An 18,082-nucleotide genomic window follows, 5' to 3' on the forward strand; every position below is an offset into this window, starting at 1 on the left:
GCTCAGGAGTGAAGCTGCAGACCTTCGTGGTGAGTGTTACAGCTCTTAAGGCGGCGTGTCTGGAGTTGTTCATTCCTCCTGGTGGGTTCGTGGTCTCTCGCTGGCTTCAGGAGTGAAGCTGCAGACATTCGCGGCGAGTGTTACAGCTCATAAAGGCAGTGTGGACCCAAAGAGTGAGCAGCAGCAAGATTTATTGCAAGGAGCAAAAGAACAAAGCTTCCACAGTGTGGAAGTGGACCCAAGCAGGTTGCCACTGCTGGCTCGGGTAGCCTGCTTTTTTTCTTTTATCTGGCCCCACCCACATCCTACTAGGCTCATAGGCAGAAGGGACTTGCCTGGTCTCAATGAGACTGTGAACTTAAGACTTTTGGGTTAATGCTGAAATGAGTTAAGACTTTGGTGAACTGTTGGCATAATTGTGTCTGTTCTCATGTTGCAATAAAGAACTGCCTGTGACTGGGTAATTTATAAAGGAAAAAGGTTTAATTGACTCATAATTCCACAGGGGCTCAGGAAACTTACAATCATGGCAGAAGGGGAGGCAAATGTGTCCTTCTTCACATGGTGGCGAGAGAGAAGTGCCAAACAAAGGTGGAAAAACACTTGATAAAACCATCAGATCTTGTGAGAACTCACTTGCTATCATTAGAAGAGCATGAGAGAACCATCCCATAATCTAATCACCTCCCATGAGTTCCCTCCCCAACAGGTGGGGATTACAATTCAGATTACAATTCAAGATGGGATTTCAGTGGGGACACAGATCCAGACCATATCATTCTGCCCCTGGTCCCTCCCAAATCTCACCTTTCTCACATTTCAAAACACAATTATGCCAACAGTTCCCCAGCATAATAAAGTGCACAATAAATGTAATGTGCTTGAATCATGCTGAAACCATCACCTGCCGGCACTCCCCCTGCCCACCCCCTATGGTTTGTGGAAAAATTGTCTTCCACAAAACCAGTCCCTAGTGCCAAAAAGGTTGGGGGACTGCTGATCTATGGGACTATTGGGTTGGTTTCAGTGTGAGGTGCTGGTGACTGGCACCAGAGTGGGAGCAGTCAATACACCAGGGTATTATCATTGGTTGTCTCTGAGTGTTAAGATTATGGACTATTTTTCTGCTTCTTTGTGTATTTTTAGTCTTTGCACATGTTCTACAAAGAATAAATTACTTGTGTAATCATAGGAAATAAATACTACCTCTTACCCTCTCCCCTGCCCCAGTCTGGCATAATTGAAAAATGAACGCTTAGAGAAAGGAGGTCACCCAAGATCAGACTTCAGAATTCAAATTTAATAAGATCTACTTGTTATTCACGATAGAGTTTGTCAAACATTTTCACCAAATTTTAGCAACAAGTTTGAGTGCTGCAGGAGATAACGAGAAGTGAAAAGATGGTGAGGGAGACAAAACAAAACAAAATTGGCAAAGAAAAAGATGGCATTTTAAATAGCAACACGAACAGTCTGCCTAAGGACTAATCTACTGTGTGAGAAAATGATTTTTAATTGAAAAGTTCTTTTTGAGAAAGTTTTTTAAAAGTCTTATATAAAAATATGGAATATATAAGAATTTAACTAATACCTTGTGTTTAGGGTGCATTATAACTGTATAAGGAATTTTTACATGAAAATTTGGGAGAACAAGAGAGAACATCATGTAATAATGTGATTAAACTTGTTACTCAGCCATTTTACAAATTCTGGAATATAAAGGACAAGGTAGAGTATGTTCCAAGGCAGGCAGTGGCCACACACTGCTTGGCTTGTAGGCCCTATTAGGGATTTTGGTGTTTCTCCTAAAAACCAGTGGAAAACCACTGAAGTATTTTAAGCAAGAAGTAGCTTGATCAGGCTTGAGTTTCAAAAGGTTCACTTTTTTTTTTTTTTAAACAGGGGTCATATCAGAAAGATATGTTTGATGAAATTAACTACAGAATCAAGAAGTATATACTCAAAAATGCAAATACTACAATATATAAGACAATGTAAGTACATTTTCATTAAAAAATGAATTGTGTGAGTCCCAGAAGTTACAAGATTACACCGAGAAGAACGAGTGATCATAAAGTAAAAATATTCACGATTGAACTGACCACTTATGGAACTAACCCATGCTGTACTTTCTCCCACAACGTGGCCCTGGTTTCTGTTTCTATCGTCTCTGTTCCACCTCTGTCCATCTTATGTTATCTGTCTCTCATTGACTGTTGGTGGTTGACAATACCATGTGAACACAGAGTGAAATTACATCTCTTACAAAATATGAAGGATTTCATACAGACAATAAAGGTGATATTGGAGAACTGCTTCACCAATCATGGTCATTAACTGTGAGGATCTGTGAGACTTTAACCAGCACAGCATCACTGTGGCTGACTCAGCAATTTTTTTCCACTACCAATGATTAACCTAAGCAGATGATGGTAGTCCTGTTCCTTTTACCACTTATTTATTTCAGAATGAGTTAAGCAGGCATTAAAAGCGGACTATAACTGAGGGTCTCTTTTTAAGATTTTCAAGTTGGAAAATTCTGCTTTGATGCTAAGAGGCAGAATAAAACCCAGAAAGATTCATTCAATCTGACTTATTAATATTTGGAAGAGGTCAGTTTATTCTGCTCAGTTCAATTAAAATCAAATAACTTTAGTGGATAGGAATTATTCAAAAGTTTTTAATACTAGGATCTATTACTCTAGGCAAGCCATACCTAAGTAATCTATACAGTTAGGGGCAGGCTAATTTCAGGCAGCAGGAAACAGTCAGCTAAAATAGAGCAGAGACGGAGGAAAATACCACTTGGAGTGCCACTCACATGTTTAAGGGCAGACATGAAAAGGTAGGCAAGTGTTTCTCTTTCTTTTGGCAAGCATTTTATAGGAAAAATTCTACAAAGCTAGGAGACTACCTGGTAAAGCTAAGCCCATTTAGAAGGGGAGGGAAGGAAGAAAATAATGCAAAAAGTCAGAGTTCAGTATTGACAAGGGATCTTTTCATTGCATGTGATTGATGACTGACGGTTTGCCCCTGCTTTTTGATTCCTGTTTGCTGATTTCCCATTTTATTTACCCATAATCCACTCATTACTCTGATAAACCATGGAAGCAGTGGTCCACAAATCTGTGTTAGTTTCTCTGTTCTCTCTGCAGTCTTTTAGAGGTACCTGCTAACACAGCTTTAAAGATCCCCTGTAAGTCAAAATTAGCTATGCTTGGTGGCACATGCCCATAGTCCCAGCTACTTGGGAGGCTGAGGCAGGAGAATTGCTTGAACCCGAGAGGTGGAGGTTGCAGTAAGCAGAGATCACGCCTGGGTGACAGAGCAAGACTCCATCTCAAAAAAAAAAAAAAAAAAAGAAAAATCCCCTGTAAGTTAATGACTTCCACTTTCTATCTCTTGCCTTGAACGCCCATACTTCCTTCTCCCTACAGATAATCTACCTTGAAAGAATTTGCCACCATCTCACTAAACAGGTCAGTTTAATAAAATCATTGACTCCTAATAATCTTTGCCGCTGCGGTGTTCCTGGGCACTAGGCTGGTGCTTCTTAACTCTGGCTGCATGGTAGAAATGTGTGAGGAGTTTTTTTAAAAAAAGACTAATATCATCTCAGCTTGGAGAGACTAGAATTTGATTGGTCTGGGTCGGTTATTTGGTGATTTTTTTTTTTTTTTTTTTTTGACAGAGTCTCGCTCTGTCGCCCAGGCTGGAGTGCAGTGGTGCGATCTTGGCTCACTGCAAGCTCCACCTTCCCAGTTCACACCGTTCTCCTGCCTCAGCCTCCCAAGTGGCTGGGACTACAGGCGCCTGCCACCATGCCTGGCCAGTTTTTTTTTTTGTTTTGTTTTTTGTTTGTTTTTTTTTTTTTTTTGTATTTTTAGTAGAGACGGGTTTCACCGTGTTAGCCAGGATGGTCTCGATCTGATTTCGTGATCCGCCCGCCTCAGCCTCCCAGTGCTGGGGTTACTGGTGTGAGTCACCCCACCTGGTCTATTTGGTGATTTTATTGTGCAGCTAGGGTTAAGACAACCTAACTAAGCCCTGGGTTTTGGCTGCTCTTCTGCATGGTTTGTTCACTGTTCTCTGTGCATTTCTTCAGTCCTCTCTCCTTTGCCTGCACTCCACAACCACAAAGCAAGATGGCGACCCTCTTGCTCTCAACATTTGTGTAGAACCTTTTACAGAGTTGGGCTGTTTTTCTCCTATAGCTCTATTTAGTTGATACACAACAGGAAGTTGTCTTCAAGCATACTTTCTATCAAGGCATTATGCTATCCAGAATTCTGTATTGAATTCTGAATGTCTACTTTAAATAATTAAGATAACAGAACTCAAGGTTACCAACTCATTGACCTTTCCAGGTCCTTTTCCATTTCTCTTTAGAAATTGATCCGTTTTCTGTAGATTTCAAGTAGATTGATACTCTCCATCTCCTTTTCTTTTCTTTTCTTTTTTTTTTTTGAGACAGAGTCTCACTCTGTCTTTCAGGCTGGAGCGCAGTGGCACGATCTCGGCTCACCGCAACCTCTGCCTCCCAGGTTCAAGCAACTCTCCTGCCTCAGCCTCTCTAGTAGCTGGGATTTACAGGTGCCTGCCACCACACTGGTCTAATTTTTTTTGTTGTTGTTTTGTTTTTAGTAGAGATGGGGTTTCACCATGTTGGCCAGGCTGGCCTCGAACTCCTAACCTCAAGTGAACCACCCACCTTGGCCTCCCAAAGGGCTGGGATTACAGATGTGAGCCACTGTGCCTGGCTTCTCCATATTCTTTATATCATTTGTTCCTCCTGTCTTCAATCATCATCCTTTCTATTTTCCTTTCCTTATTGTTAACTTTTTATATTTTAGTTGCATTCTCCTTCACTAACATAATTTATTTCCAGTCACTCCTTAGATAATGCTACTCAATTCAGACAGTTCATTCTGTACTCACGTCTTCCTTTGTACTTTTTAATTGCTTATTTGTTGTTTTTGACATCTTAGTGGAATTTTTGAGCTACTCAAAAGTGAGTGCTGTTTTAACTACCTCTTATAACCAGTAAGTGTTCTGTATACATAAAGCACACAATAAATGGCTAATTAATATCCAGTTTTCTGTTGAACAAGTACAATACTTAAATCTTTTCTGCCTGAGCCAAGTCCGAGATATAACTCTCTTATCTACTATAGTGACTGGCCTGCATAGCCATCTGTCTAAACCCTGAGACTGAAATTCTTTAATGTGGAGATCTCTATCTGCAGACATGAATATGGCTTGATGATGATCAAAAATACTCCCCTCACTGAACACACAAGCCTTTGGTTGGCAGCCAAAGGCAATTATGTGTACAATCTGAAGCTATTTCTAATTCTGAGTTTCATGTCTTCAATGCTTTCTCCAAGAGCCACCCTATTTTCAAGGAATTAGCATCAGGGCAGCCATTGGCTGCCATAGATGTTTAGTGATCCATAGATCTTTTGCATAATTTGAAAATATGCATTTTCCGGCAGGGCGTGGTGGCTCAAGCCTGTAATCCCAGCACTTTGGGAGGCTGAAGCAGGTCAGGAGTTTGAGACCAGCCTGGCCAACATGGTGAAACCCTATCTCTACTAAAAATACAAAAATTAGCTGGGCATAGTGGCACACATCTGTCATCCCAGCTACTCGGGAGGCTGAGGCAGGAGAATTGCTTGAGCCCAGGAGACAGAGGTTGCAGTGAGCCAAGATAGTGCCACTACACTCCAGCCTGGCCCACAGAGTGAGACTCTGTCTCAAAAAAAAAAAAAGAAAAGAAAAGAAAGAAAATATGCATTTTCCCTGCACACCTAAATTGGAATTGACTGATCTCTGCTAACCATATGTAATAGTCACATGGTTCTTTGTATGAGTCTGGCCTAATCACAGTGCAGCATGGTGTTATGTACTTTTTTTTTTTAACTTGTTTTAAGTCTATATGTAACTTCTTGAGGATAGAGAAGATTGTATCTCTCTAGAGATAGAATGGTACAGCTACCAAGACTGGTACAGCTGGTAATGGCTCAATTTTTGTGGCTTAGCTGATCGACTGGACCAATGAGAGCTGAAATTATCAAGGTACAGGAGGTGATGCTGAGTGGTCCTCAAGCTTTGATATGCTTAGAATCACCTGGAAAACTTTTGATTCAGAACTTTTGATGCAGTAGACCTGGGATTGGTGGGAGGATTTGCATTTCTTTTTGTTGTTGTTGTTTTTGAGACGGAGTCTTGCTCTGTTGCCAGGCTGGGGTACAGTGGTACAATCCTTGGCTCACTGCAACCTCTGCCTCCCTGGTTGAAGCGATTCCCCTGACTCAGCCTCCCAAGTAGCTGGGACTACAGGTGTGCGCCACCACACCCGGCTAATTTTTGTATTTTAGTACAGATGGGGTTTCACCATGTTGGCCAGGATGGTCTCGATCTCCTGACCTCGTGATCTGCCTGCTTCACCTCCCAAAGTGCTGGGATTACAGACGTGAGCCACTGCGCCCGGCCAGATTTGCATTTCTAACAAGTCCTTAGGTGATGCTGCTGCTGCTGCTCCAGGGATCACACTTTAAGAATCACTGCCCACAACTGTACCAGGAATTTAGCTTGTCTTTTGGGAGATTGGCGGGCAGAGCAGGATCTTGTTGAGTTGCAAGTGTCTGACAGCCTGACCATAATTTATGACTAGAGAGTGGTAGTCCAACCTTCCTCTCATATGTCCATGGGAGTGAACAAGCTGCTCTGTCTGTTTCATGAACACTTTTATTAGTTCGTCTCTGAGTCATGTTTAACATACTTGATTACAATGTTAGGACAGAAACATTATGCTCAAAGCTCTAGGGATACTTCCAAAATGTCACCATTGAAAAGTACCAACCCAGGCAGCAGGGTTAGGATTGCCCATCTCTTTAGTACTTGGACTATTACCTGTGGGTCTTGAACATTTTTGCAGGATATACAGGCAGAGGAGAGGAGGATGTTAGAGAAAGACTAAAGACTTCTGGAGTCAGCAGCCATGCAATCATGGTATTTAAGCACTCTAAGACTCATTTTTCTCTTCTTAAAAGCAGTATATTGGCCAGGCATGGTAGCTCATGCCTGTAATCCCAGCACTTTGGGAGGCCGAGGCAGGCGGATCATGAGGTCAGGAGTTCGAGAGCAGTCTGGCCAACCTGGTGAAATCCCGCCTCTACTAAAAATACAAAAATTAGTCGGGCTTGGTGGTATGCACCTGTAATCCCAGCTTACCCGGGAGGCTGAGGCAGAAGAATTGCTTGAACCCGGGAGGTGGAGGTTGCAGTGAGTCGGGATCACACCACTGCAGTCCAGCCTGGGCAACAGAGCAAGACTCCATCTCAAACAACAACAAAAAAAGCAGTATATTAATACTTCATGAAGAAGGTATAAGAATTAAAAATGTATAAGATCCCTCTTTTTGTATGGAACACCCAATATTTCCTAATAAACAGTGACTAAGTTCCTATCTTTATAACTTTGTCATGGGGTCCCTATCTGCTCTGCAGAGATAGCTGGATGAGTTATGCCTCTGAGAAGGCAGGGGTGGCTGCAAACTGTGGATTTTGTCAGACCCACTTAAAAGCAGATATAGGGAGGCTAGTGATTTGAACAATTGGTATATAAGTACTAGATGAGAGTCTCCATGATACAGAAACTATGGCTCATGTAAGTGTTTTTTTGCTTTTTACTGTTGACAGGGTAAGCCTTGGACAGGAATTGGGAGTCCTTCAAATTTGTCTTAATGGTCCTGACCTCTCCATTCTATGGCTCCTTTCTCCCAGTGTCTATCTCCCTATCAAATCTTACTCTCTGAAAGCTCTTTGCTCTCCTAATCTCAACCTGGTGAGATTGACTGTTACCATAAGCTCCTATTACGTGTGTCATATCCTTCAGGTGTACTCAGGTGGAAATAGACCAGGTGGAGAACCACTGTTTTTGCATTTTCAGTGTTAATCCTTATTGCTAACTGGGAATTGAAGGGCTCTCTCTTCTACTGAGGGAATCTCAGATACCAGCAAGCAGGTAAGAAAGACTAAAGTGCCTTAGATAGCTTCTACATGTAGATAAGATTGACCCTGTGTTCAAACTGAAGCTAACTATGTTATGTCCTTCTAATATGGACACGTAGCATCAGAAAAATCAAAATACATACATGGTACACACAACTGCCATTTGAAGCCAGTTTTTCTCATTGTAGGAAACTACTACAGGGGCAATCTCCAACCAGATTCTTTTACTAAAACATAGCGTTTTGTTAGAATAAAAATGCTCTTAGAGCCTCTGTTAAAGGAAATAACTCTTTTGTTTTCATGATTTGAACCTCAGAAACTGAAAACACCTCGGGAAAGAAAAAGGACCCCTTCAGCTCTGCTGGGATTCTGCAGTGTGGCTCCAGCATGTCTAGGGGTTTCAAACCTGATGCTAAGACCATCAGTCCTGCGATAAGGAGGAAGCTTAAAATAGCAGGAACAAAGGACAGCTTATACAGTCCATAGAATATGAAGTGATGACAAGCACAGCAAAAAGAATTTGAGAGTGAAAAGGAAATTGCACAAGAGGGCAGGATAAAGAGATCCTAAATACCCCTAGTTTCAGTTTCTAGGAGGGGAAAAAATTCAAAGAATATTCCTACCTTTCAAAGGTATTTGTTCAAATGCAATGGCCTCCACTTAGTCTACCAGAGTTCTTTATCTCAGTTATCTAACTCTTTGGATTTGCTCACGTGAGCTGAAAATCTCAGAGGCTTTTTTCCTGAGGTTCTCGAAAGACCCTGTTGCAGGCTTGAGGGGAAGATCATAGCTTTTTGTTTCGTTACCACTAGAATGGGTGACCAGGTGCTATGCCATTTCTTTTAGCTTTACAATAAAAAGGAGCTTCTTACCCACTCTTTTCTCAGCAGTACTATGGCAAGAGATCCCCAGAAGGAAAGACAGAGGGAGCTGAACAGTATTTAGTAAATCTGAACCACCTGGGATGTTTCTTTTCGATAATACACCCTCTCTTCAGAAAAAAAAAAATGTTCCACATTATATGCCGATAACATCCTCTATTCTCTGCTTAGTTTGATCATTATGGGTACTTTGGGAAAGCATCTTATACTTTGTAAGTGACAGAGCTACCAAGACCTATTTGTATCGGGTACCAAGCTAGATAGAAACTGTATATAATTCACTCACTACATTCTTGTAGAAACAGAATGTGGTAGCTATTTTTGGTCCTGTTTTGAAGTGACAGAATTGAGGCATAAAGAAGTTAATTTGTTTAGCCCATGCTCACAAATCTTGTAAGCAGCAGGATTCAGACTATGGTACGTAAGATTATAAACGCCTGCATTTCTCTGGTGGCCGTGAGATGTAGGCAACATAATCAGCCAAGGAACAGAAAATTAGACACGTGTTGAAATTTGGTAATGAATCATTCTCCTGTCTCCCTCTAAATTCTAAACCAGATAGATAGTGGGATAAGATAAATGAATATCAGTCTTTTTTTTGTACTGGAAATAGCAGATTCGGAAACATGGCTTGGAGGAGAGGCTATAATTAGGTTACCTAATTGCTTCCCCATGAGTTGAACCAATGTACTCACCAAGCTGCAGACAGCCCAGTAAGAATACTGCAGGCTTTCCCCCTGCCCTAGCTTTCTTGCCCAGGGAAGGAGTGAAATTGGGACATGTTGGAATCTGTTGGAAGGGGCTGGTTACACTGCCCTTTCCTCCATTCTTGCCAGTGTTCAGTTCCTTCTTCCATTCTTGCCAATCTGATAATTTACTCTTCTGCTCTTAGGAAGTAAAGAACAGATAGAAAGGACAAAAACGCCTTTCCCATTTTTTTCCTCTTTGGAATGAAATGTATTTTTTTTCCCTTCCAAGGAAATATGAAGAGGTAGTGTTTAAATGTCTCCCTAAAAGTAATGAAACTATCTTTTTAGAAGTTTCTGTTTTGAATTCGCAGGAAAGATTTGAAATTGTTTCTAGTTGAGCTGAGTTGATTTTAATGCCTATAAACTTTGTGATCAGAGACAATACTTTAGCTTCCAAATTGCAAAATTAATGTTGGCTCATCTGCTTAAAGTCAGATAACTCTACCCTTTGGGTAAGCAAGTGAAACACCCAGTCATTTTGGTGGAGAAAAGCAGTGGAGCCAATTGTTTAACCGGATTGGCCAAAAAAGAAATGAGAGGGATAGATTTCAGATGCAAGCCATATGCTTCTGTTCCAAGGGGAGAAAAGAAAGCAGTCAGAACATTTGGTGGAGAAGGAGGGCCTGAATGCAAATTTACATGAACAAAGGAACAGCCAAGGAGAAAGACATAGAAAGATGATATAACAGCTGCAGACAAATACGCAAGTTAAAGATGACTTTGATACTGGTGAAGAATGCTGACTAATTTTGTCAAGTTTTTGATGCTGAGACAACATCAGAAGCAACTTTCACCTTGTTCAGGGATGACCTTGTGTGTTCAAATTGCAAAGAACTTTGTGTGAGTCAGCAGCACCATCTTTGCATTTAACACAAAGTTGCTTAATTGAGGGACAAGATGATGGTCAAGCTCCAGTTTGATGCTTTTTGAGGGACATTGTGGCCAACATTTAGATTACATACTGTGTTTTTCCTCTTGGAGCTATGATTTCCACTAGAAGAAGGTCAAGAGTGTGACTTTGGCATATTGTGAATAGTTTGGTGATATATCCCAGATTTGTCTAGTGAATTTTAACATTTTGTTGATTAACATTTACTGAGAGTTCTTCACCTGATCTAGTTATTCTGAACATTCTTTGACATGGTTATACTCTCTTTCATCTTGAAAACACATGTGTCAGTCAACCACATAACAACTGGCCCTTTACTGGAAGCAGATCAGAATTTTCATCCCAGGTCTGACACTCACCTTTCTGTGAGCCTGAGGAAGTAACTTTATTCATTCTTTCAACAAATATTTTTTAGGTACCTACATCTTTTCAGCACTGGAGATGATTTCTGCCTTCATGGACTCTAAGCTGAGTGAGGAAGACAGACCATTAAGCAGGTCATTAAAACCAAGTGCCATAAGAGCTATTTTAGGGGACCTACAGGAAGGAGCCTATGGCAGTGCAGAGGAGACACGTCTGTCTTAAAGGGTCAGAGAGAGCTTTCTCATGGTTTAAGCTGAGTCTGAAGAGGTTAAATAAATATCCGAGGAGCAAGTGCTTTGAAAGAAAGGAACTGCGTTTTAGACAGGGAGAAAAGAGAGCTGCAAGCAGGGAACTTGAATTCAGAGAATTTCAGTTTGCTGAGAACACGAAGTGTGAGGAAGGCCAGAGGGAGCCTGGAGAGGTTGGGGGAGAGAGATAAGAGGAATGTGGTGGGAAGTAAGCTGGAAGAAGTAGGTAAGATCTTTGGTTCCTTTAAACACAAAATAGTAATAATAATGTCCACTACACACACAAATTCTGAGAATCAAAGGAGAAAATGTTCACAGAACAGTTTTGTAATCTACAAAGCACTAGACAAAGGCAAGAAGACATTCTGACTGGGGTGTTGGCTGTAAACTGTGGTTCACTTTTCCAGGAGCAGGAACAGTTCTGCCCAGAGTTATGCTCTGAAGATCTTTTTGACCAACGTTGCAATGTGACAGGAGTTTTTTGTGAAAACATAAATTGCAATAATATGGTGTATTTGTGTATTTGTTTTCTATTTCCTTATACATTTTTTATAGATGTCTTTATTAGTTACTATTGGCAATGCCTGGTATATATGGCCAACCAACATGAGAAACATTTCCCAGAACCCTGAAATCATATCATAGAGGCAATGATCACACACAGAGGTGGTTTTAAGTACTCCCTGGACAATTGCTGTTTGCTCTGTCACCATCAATTCTAGGGTCTCTCGGTTGATAGCTGAATCAAGCTTAAGTTTTTTTTTCTATGTCCCAATTCATCCCTTCTTTCTGGTTTTGTTCTCAAGAATAAATTTTAGCAATGCATTGTGAGTAATTTTCTTCAGAAGAGCCAGCCAGTATTTCTCCTCTGTTGGTTAAACCCAAAACCTGGGTTTTTGCACCCAGCTTGTGGCTCAGGTCACTGTGTAAGCCTAGGACTCGTTATTTTTATATTTTCTTCCTCTGATAAGAGAGACTCGGGACACATAAGTGTTAAGCCTATCTAAATGTTTCACCCTGATTTCAAATGGATTTGTCATTTTCTAAGGAAAGGTATGTGTAGCTGGCGGATAGCTATAGTATGTGTACACACTTATAGTATGTGTGAACACTTATAACACTATAGTTTCGCGTAATTTCAGTACCTGGTTTCCAAGCTGCCAAGTTTCTTGAACAGAGAACGTGAGTGAAATTTGAAGCCAGAGGGAAGATGCGAAGAGATTATTAGCTTTTCAACTCTGTTATTTACAATTCCTGTATTTCTCTTAAGGATCCAGAAAAGGAAGTGTCTGAAAAAAAGAACATTTTGCTTAGAACTGATACTTTGGCATTTGGTAATACTTACTTCTCTTGTTTTTTATTTTTTTAGATGGAGTCTTGCTCTGTTGCCCAGGATGGAGTGCAGTGGCATGATCTTGGCTCACTGCAACCTCTGCCTCCCCAGTTCAAGTGATTCTCCTGAGTCAGCCTCTGGAGTAGCTGGGACTTCAGACATGGGCCACCATGCCCGGCTAATTTTTGTATTTTTAGTAGAGACGGATTTCTCCACATTGGTCAGACTAGTCTCAAACTCGTGATTTCAGGTGATCCACCCGTCTTGGCCTCCCAAAGTGCTGGGATTACAGGAGTGAGCCACTGCACCTGGCCAGTAAGACTTATCTTAACACACTTTTTGTTGCTGTTATTTTTGGCACAGACCTTTTTTTTTTTTTAATCATTTTTGGAATCACAATTGTCTTTTTAACTTTGAAGTGTTTTCCCTTATATCTGGAAGACGGGGCGGGTGGTTCAGTGAGGTATCTGAGTTGGTGGAGATGTCTATGTTGGAAGGCAAGTTGGGAAGAGCAACGCAGAACATGGAGAAGGCTACTTTGGGAAGTTGTGGGGGTGCAAATGATATATTTTCTGCTGTTGAGAAGTCCGGTTAGCTTTGGCTTTTGAGAGCGTCACTCTGGGAATGTGCATATGTCTGTGTGTGGGGGCAAGAAGGAGGCCACACCAGTGGGATTATAAAGAGGCTTTGAATTGTACCCCCACCACTCCACCAGAATTGTTAGAAACTTAGTTCCCAGATATCCACTCAACCCTCTTTGGCAGGATCCCTGGGAGGCTCAGTTGTCCTTCTTGGAAGCCAGTAAAATTCTTTGTTGGTGGTTGTGGAGGCCAGCATCTGATCAGCTGCTCAGTAGCCATAGCTGCTGCTTCTGTTGCCCTGGCTGCTGGACTTGGAGGCTTCCTGGTTGCTAGTGACTTGGCTTGCGCGGCTGCGCCCTGTCCCTGCTGGGGCTGGTTTATGTGGCTCTGATGGTTATACATGCCGAAGTCACTCCTCTCCTATGTGTTCCTCAAGTGCTCTTCACAGTGGAGCCAGGAGAACCTTACTGTTCTTTCTTCAATTCCCAGTATGGCCTCACTCTGTTTCTTGCAGCGCCCCCTAGTGTTAGCACACTTTCATTCAGTTATCTTTTCCATCTGTCTCTTGGCTCAAGTTCCTACAGATCAGGGTAGGAATCACATAGGATTGTCCTATTTAGCAAATAAAGATAGAGAATGTCCAGTTAAATTTGAGTTTCAGATAAATAATGAAGAATTTTTTAACATAAGTATGTCTCAAATGTCACATGGGACATACTTATACTAAAACATTCTTCATTGGTTATCTAAAATTCAAATTGAATTGGGTGTCCTGTATTTTATCAATAAATACTAGATTCAAATTAGTGATCTTCCCATTTCCAAGCCCCTCGTTACACTTAGAATATTGCTAGTGTAACAGATCGCATATGGAAAAGAAAGAAATTGGCTCCTTTTTAAAGCAAATTTTAGTATACAAGTACTCTGAGCAATGCAGCTGTGGACCAGGGCTAAGTTAATATGCTTTTTAAGAAGCATGGTTTCCTTAAAGTTTAATATCCAAAAGCTAGCTCCATAGTATTATAGTTTGAATTTCCAAAAGCGTGGACATTGAATTTGGCTTGCGAATAAATCTTTAGGAATTGAATAACTTTTTATTTACATCAAATGAGTAGTAGAATCTAATGATTCAGACATCTGAATTGTGAAAAGTCAAAATATTTGTATATTGATTGGGTCATACAAGGTCATTTTATGGGAAATGTAATGTGAGCAATTATTTTCTTTTTTTTTTTTTTTTTTTTTTGAGACAGAGTCTCGCTCTGTCGCCCAGGCTGGAGTGCAGTGGCATTATCTCGGCTCACTGCAAGCTCTGTCTCCAGGGTTCATGCCATTCTCCTGCCTCAGCCTCCCGAGTAGTTGGGACTACAGGCGCCCGCCACCACGCCTAGCTAATTTTTGTATTTTTAGTAGAGACGGGATTTCATCGTGTTAGCCAGGATGGTCTCGATCTCCTGACCTTGTGATCCGCCTGCCTCAGCCTCCCAAAGTGCTGGGATAACAGGCGTGAGCCACCGCACCCGACCTATTTCCCTTTTTTTTTTTTTGGATGTAAAAATGTAATTCATTTTAGGGGGAAGGGACATTGTGTCTGCATGGTGGCAACAGTTTAGTGAACAGATCCACAAACGTCTGTCAATAAAAACAAACAACTTCCCAAAAGTCCATCAATGGGACAGCTCCACATATCCAGATAGATAGATACATCGAAAGATAAATAGATAGATAGATAGATAGATAGATAGATAGATAGATAGATAGATGATAGAATGAATAATATTCAGCCATCAAAAGAAAGGGGATTCTGATACATGCCATGGCATGGATAAACCTTGAGGACATTATACTAAGTGAAATAAGTCAATTACAAGAGGACAAATATCACATGATTCCATATATATATATGATAAGGTATATTCTAGATGCTTATAAAAGAAAGGTACCTAGAATAGTTAAATTCATAAAGACAGAAAGTAAAATGGTGGTTGCCAGGGGCTAGGGGGAGGGGAGAAATGGAGAGTTGTTTAATGGTGTGAGTTTTTTATTGTATTTATTTATTTATTATTTATTTTTTAAGACGGAGTCTCATTCTGTTGCCAGGCTGGAGTGCAATGGTGCAATCTTGGCTCACTGCAACCTCCGCCTCCTGGGTTCAAATGATTCTCCTGCCTCAGCCTCCCAAGTAGCTGGGACTACAGGTGCGTGCCACCACCCCCTGCTAAAAATAAAGACAAAAATAAACTGAGTCTGCAGAGGTTAAATAAATATTCGAGGAACAAGTGTTTTAGACAGGGAGACAAGAGAGCTGCGAGCAGGGAACTTTAATTCAGAGAATTTCGGTTTGCTGAGAACATGAAGTGTGAGGAAGGCCGGAGGGAGCTTCAATAACTACAAACATGTTGCTTTAATAATTTGATTACAGATTGAGAAAAAAGGTTTATTTTCTTACTTACCCATCATTTTGACAAATTAGAGTAATAAGGGAGATGTGTGGATAAGGATTTCTGACAGCACTGGCACTGGGGAAAACAAATGTCACTAGCTATCTCAGTAGGAGCTGCACAAAATGCAATTTCCTTTTTCGTTCCTTTTGTATTTCCTGATTTTACCTACACGTGTTGTTCTTGCTATATGAAGTCATAAGAATATTTAACTTCTAAATGGGGGACAGAAATAAATGAGAATAGTCAGACTCCAAATATAACCATTTAGAGCAATGATAAAATGATATTTCAAATTAATGAATAAATCATTTATTACATGCTACTTCCTTAAACAATGTCTTTAACATGATGTTAATGACTCTCTTTTAGTAAATTGTTCTCCAGGTAATTCCCACCTGATATTTTTCTCCAAGAGACAATTTTAGTCCCCAGGAAGAAGCCTACATTTTGACACTTTTGCAGCCAAAAGACTGGGCGGTTTTTTGGCTGACACCATAATTTTAAGAAGTGGTTTTTCTTTTGTAAAAGTAACCTGGAGTCTTCAAACAGCTGGCAACTTTTGGATTTTTGTGTAAAATATTTAGGGAAGAAATGTGAAATATTCAGTATAAAATATCTCAGTTCATAAGCTGAGGTGCTACTGATTTAAGTAAAGTGGAGAATAAAATAGAGTCAGTGATTTACTCAGTTTACTCATTCATCCCATTCATTGATTCACTGGGCAAATATGAATCAAGGATTTACTAGGTCAGGTAGTATTTTGAGTTTGATTTTGGTGGATGAGCAGTCAGGCCTTTTGAGTGGAGATACTGTGAAGCTTTTGTTTCCCTGGTAGTTTTCTTTTTTGTATGAATTATCTAGATAATTGTGTAAACCTTCATATTAACTTTGGCTGTATATTGAAGCAGATAGTCTGAGTCCTAACACTGAAATGATACTCCAGTACATTGAGAAGGAAGAAAGCAATGTTACCGATGCTTAAATGCCACGGCATCCTGCCCACAAGAGGCTCTTGGGCATAGCTTACATTTCTCTGTCTCATTGCACACTCATGGGGATATTCTCAAGCCCTCTCCATGTGTGCTCTGCCTGAGTGCCAAACTCGCTGCTGGTCACTGATGTGATCCCACAGCTAGCAGCCTGGCTATCCTCCCCTTCATTTGAACAGAGGAAGTTCTTCACCTTTTAGAACCCAATATTCACTCCCAGCTTTCCTACTTGAAAATTCGTTTGTTATCCTTCCCATATTTTCTCTAAACAAACTTTCTCAGAATGTTGTTAAAATTCTGAAAGGGATGACAAAAACTGTTGGTACAGGAAGGCGGCAGAGCAAGGATATGTCCAGTGGGAGAAAAGTTAAACCATTGCATGCCAATAAACAAAGGTGAGTGCTGGGAAGCCAACTGACCTGCTATGTGGCACGAATGAATGAAACAAACCACTGTATTCCAGAAACAGGAAATAATGTCCATTAAGAAATAACTGTTTCCCGTTTTGTTCCATCAGTCATAAAATGTCATCACGTGAGTTGTGATCAGTCTGTAACTCTATCCACATGATGCTTCAGCTTTTGTTCTCTCTTTTTCTTTTTGTCGGCCCGGTCTTTGCCTGGGAGGACTTTATGGTTCCACTGGGAGAGAAAGGGAGAAAAAGATCTTCTTGGTACTATTAAGCTTTTAAAGGACATTTGCTTTTTTTCTTTTCCTACAGACCGCAACCAATTGCTCTTCCTTCCCATTGAAAGAAACCCAGGCTGTACCTGCTCTTTCATCTCCTGTGTGGAAAACATCTATCGGCTGGAAGCCCTGAGTCTTCATTTTCAAGGATTTTAGTTGTAAGCTGTTTAAGGCATAAGCTAAAGTTTCAGGCAGAGGTAATTTTAGTAGTTAAGCCTGATTTTTACTTCCACCCTCTGTCCTCCAGGGCTATATGGGAAGCTTTCTGTGAGTGGATAAGCTCTTTAGCTAAGATGTAAACATGTTCCCTGCTATCTGATAAAGGTTCCTGGAGACTGACACTTTAAAAAAAAAAAAAAAAAGAAAGTGAGGAAAAAAAGAAAAGGAGAAACTGAATCCAAGGCTTACAAAGGGATTAGAAAACTGTACCCCAGATGGAAAATTTTATGGGCTCTGGAGAAAATGTGTAAGTGAAATATCGGTATCATAAAATAACAGGAAATAGTGTAATCTACCTGATGGAGAAAATTGTCACTTTAAAAAAACTATCCTAATTTCCTTCAAAATTGTTCTTGTTTTTGAGCCAATAAACTTCAGCTAAGCTCACCATGGGTCTTTCTTCTGCCAAACTCCTACTTACCAACAGAACCTTTGTGTGTTTACAATTGAAACTTTTCCATTCTATTTTTTTCTAATTAAAATAAAGCCACCCAGAGGCGGACAGAAATCATACAATAAGGAAAGAAAATTGCTAATGATCTGGGTAAATTATGATCCAGAAGTTTAGAGGAAAATTAGAGTGCATATTATAGCAAAGAACTCAAAACAAATTTGGGGTCAACCCAAAGAAATGTATAAGGGGGAAATCCTAAGTTTTCCTTTAATAAGTAATAATGATAATAC

General features: G+C 40.5%; 1 long non-coding RNA gene across 1 annotated transcript; it reads left to right on the forward strand.

The window, feature by feature from the left end:
- The first annotated feature begins 1,901 nt into the window (after positions 1-1,901).
- Positions 1,902-17,785, forward strand: LINC02869 (long intergenic non-protein coding RNA 2869). The gene is made up of 3 exons (NR_146760.1): positions 1,902-1,994; positions 15,160-15,257; positions 17,214-17,785. It is a non-coding gene; the product is annotated as a long intergenic non-protein coding RNA 2869 (long non-coding RNA).
- The last annotated feature ends 297 nt before the right edge of the window (positions 17,786-18,082 follow it).

The sequence above is a fragment of the Homo sapiens genome, chromosome 1, assembly GCF_000001405.40.
Source record: "Homo sapiens chromosome 1, GRCh38.p14 Primary Assembly".
NCBI classification, from domain to species: Eukaryota; Metazoa; Chordata; class Mammalia; order Primates; family Hominidae; genus Homo; species Homo sapiens.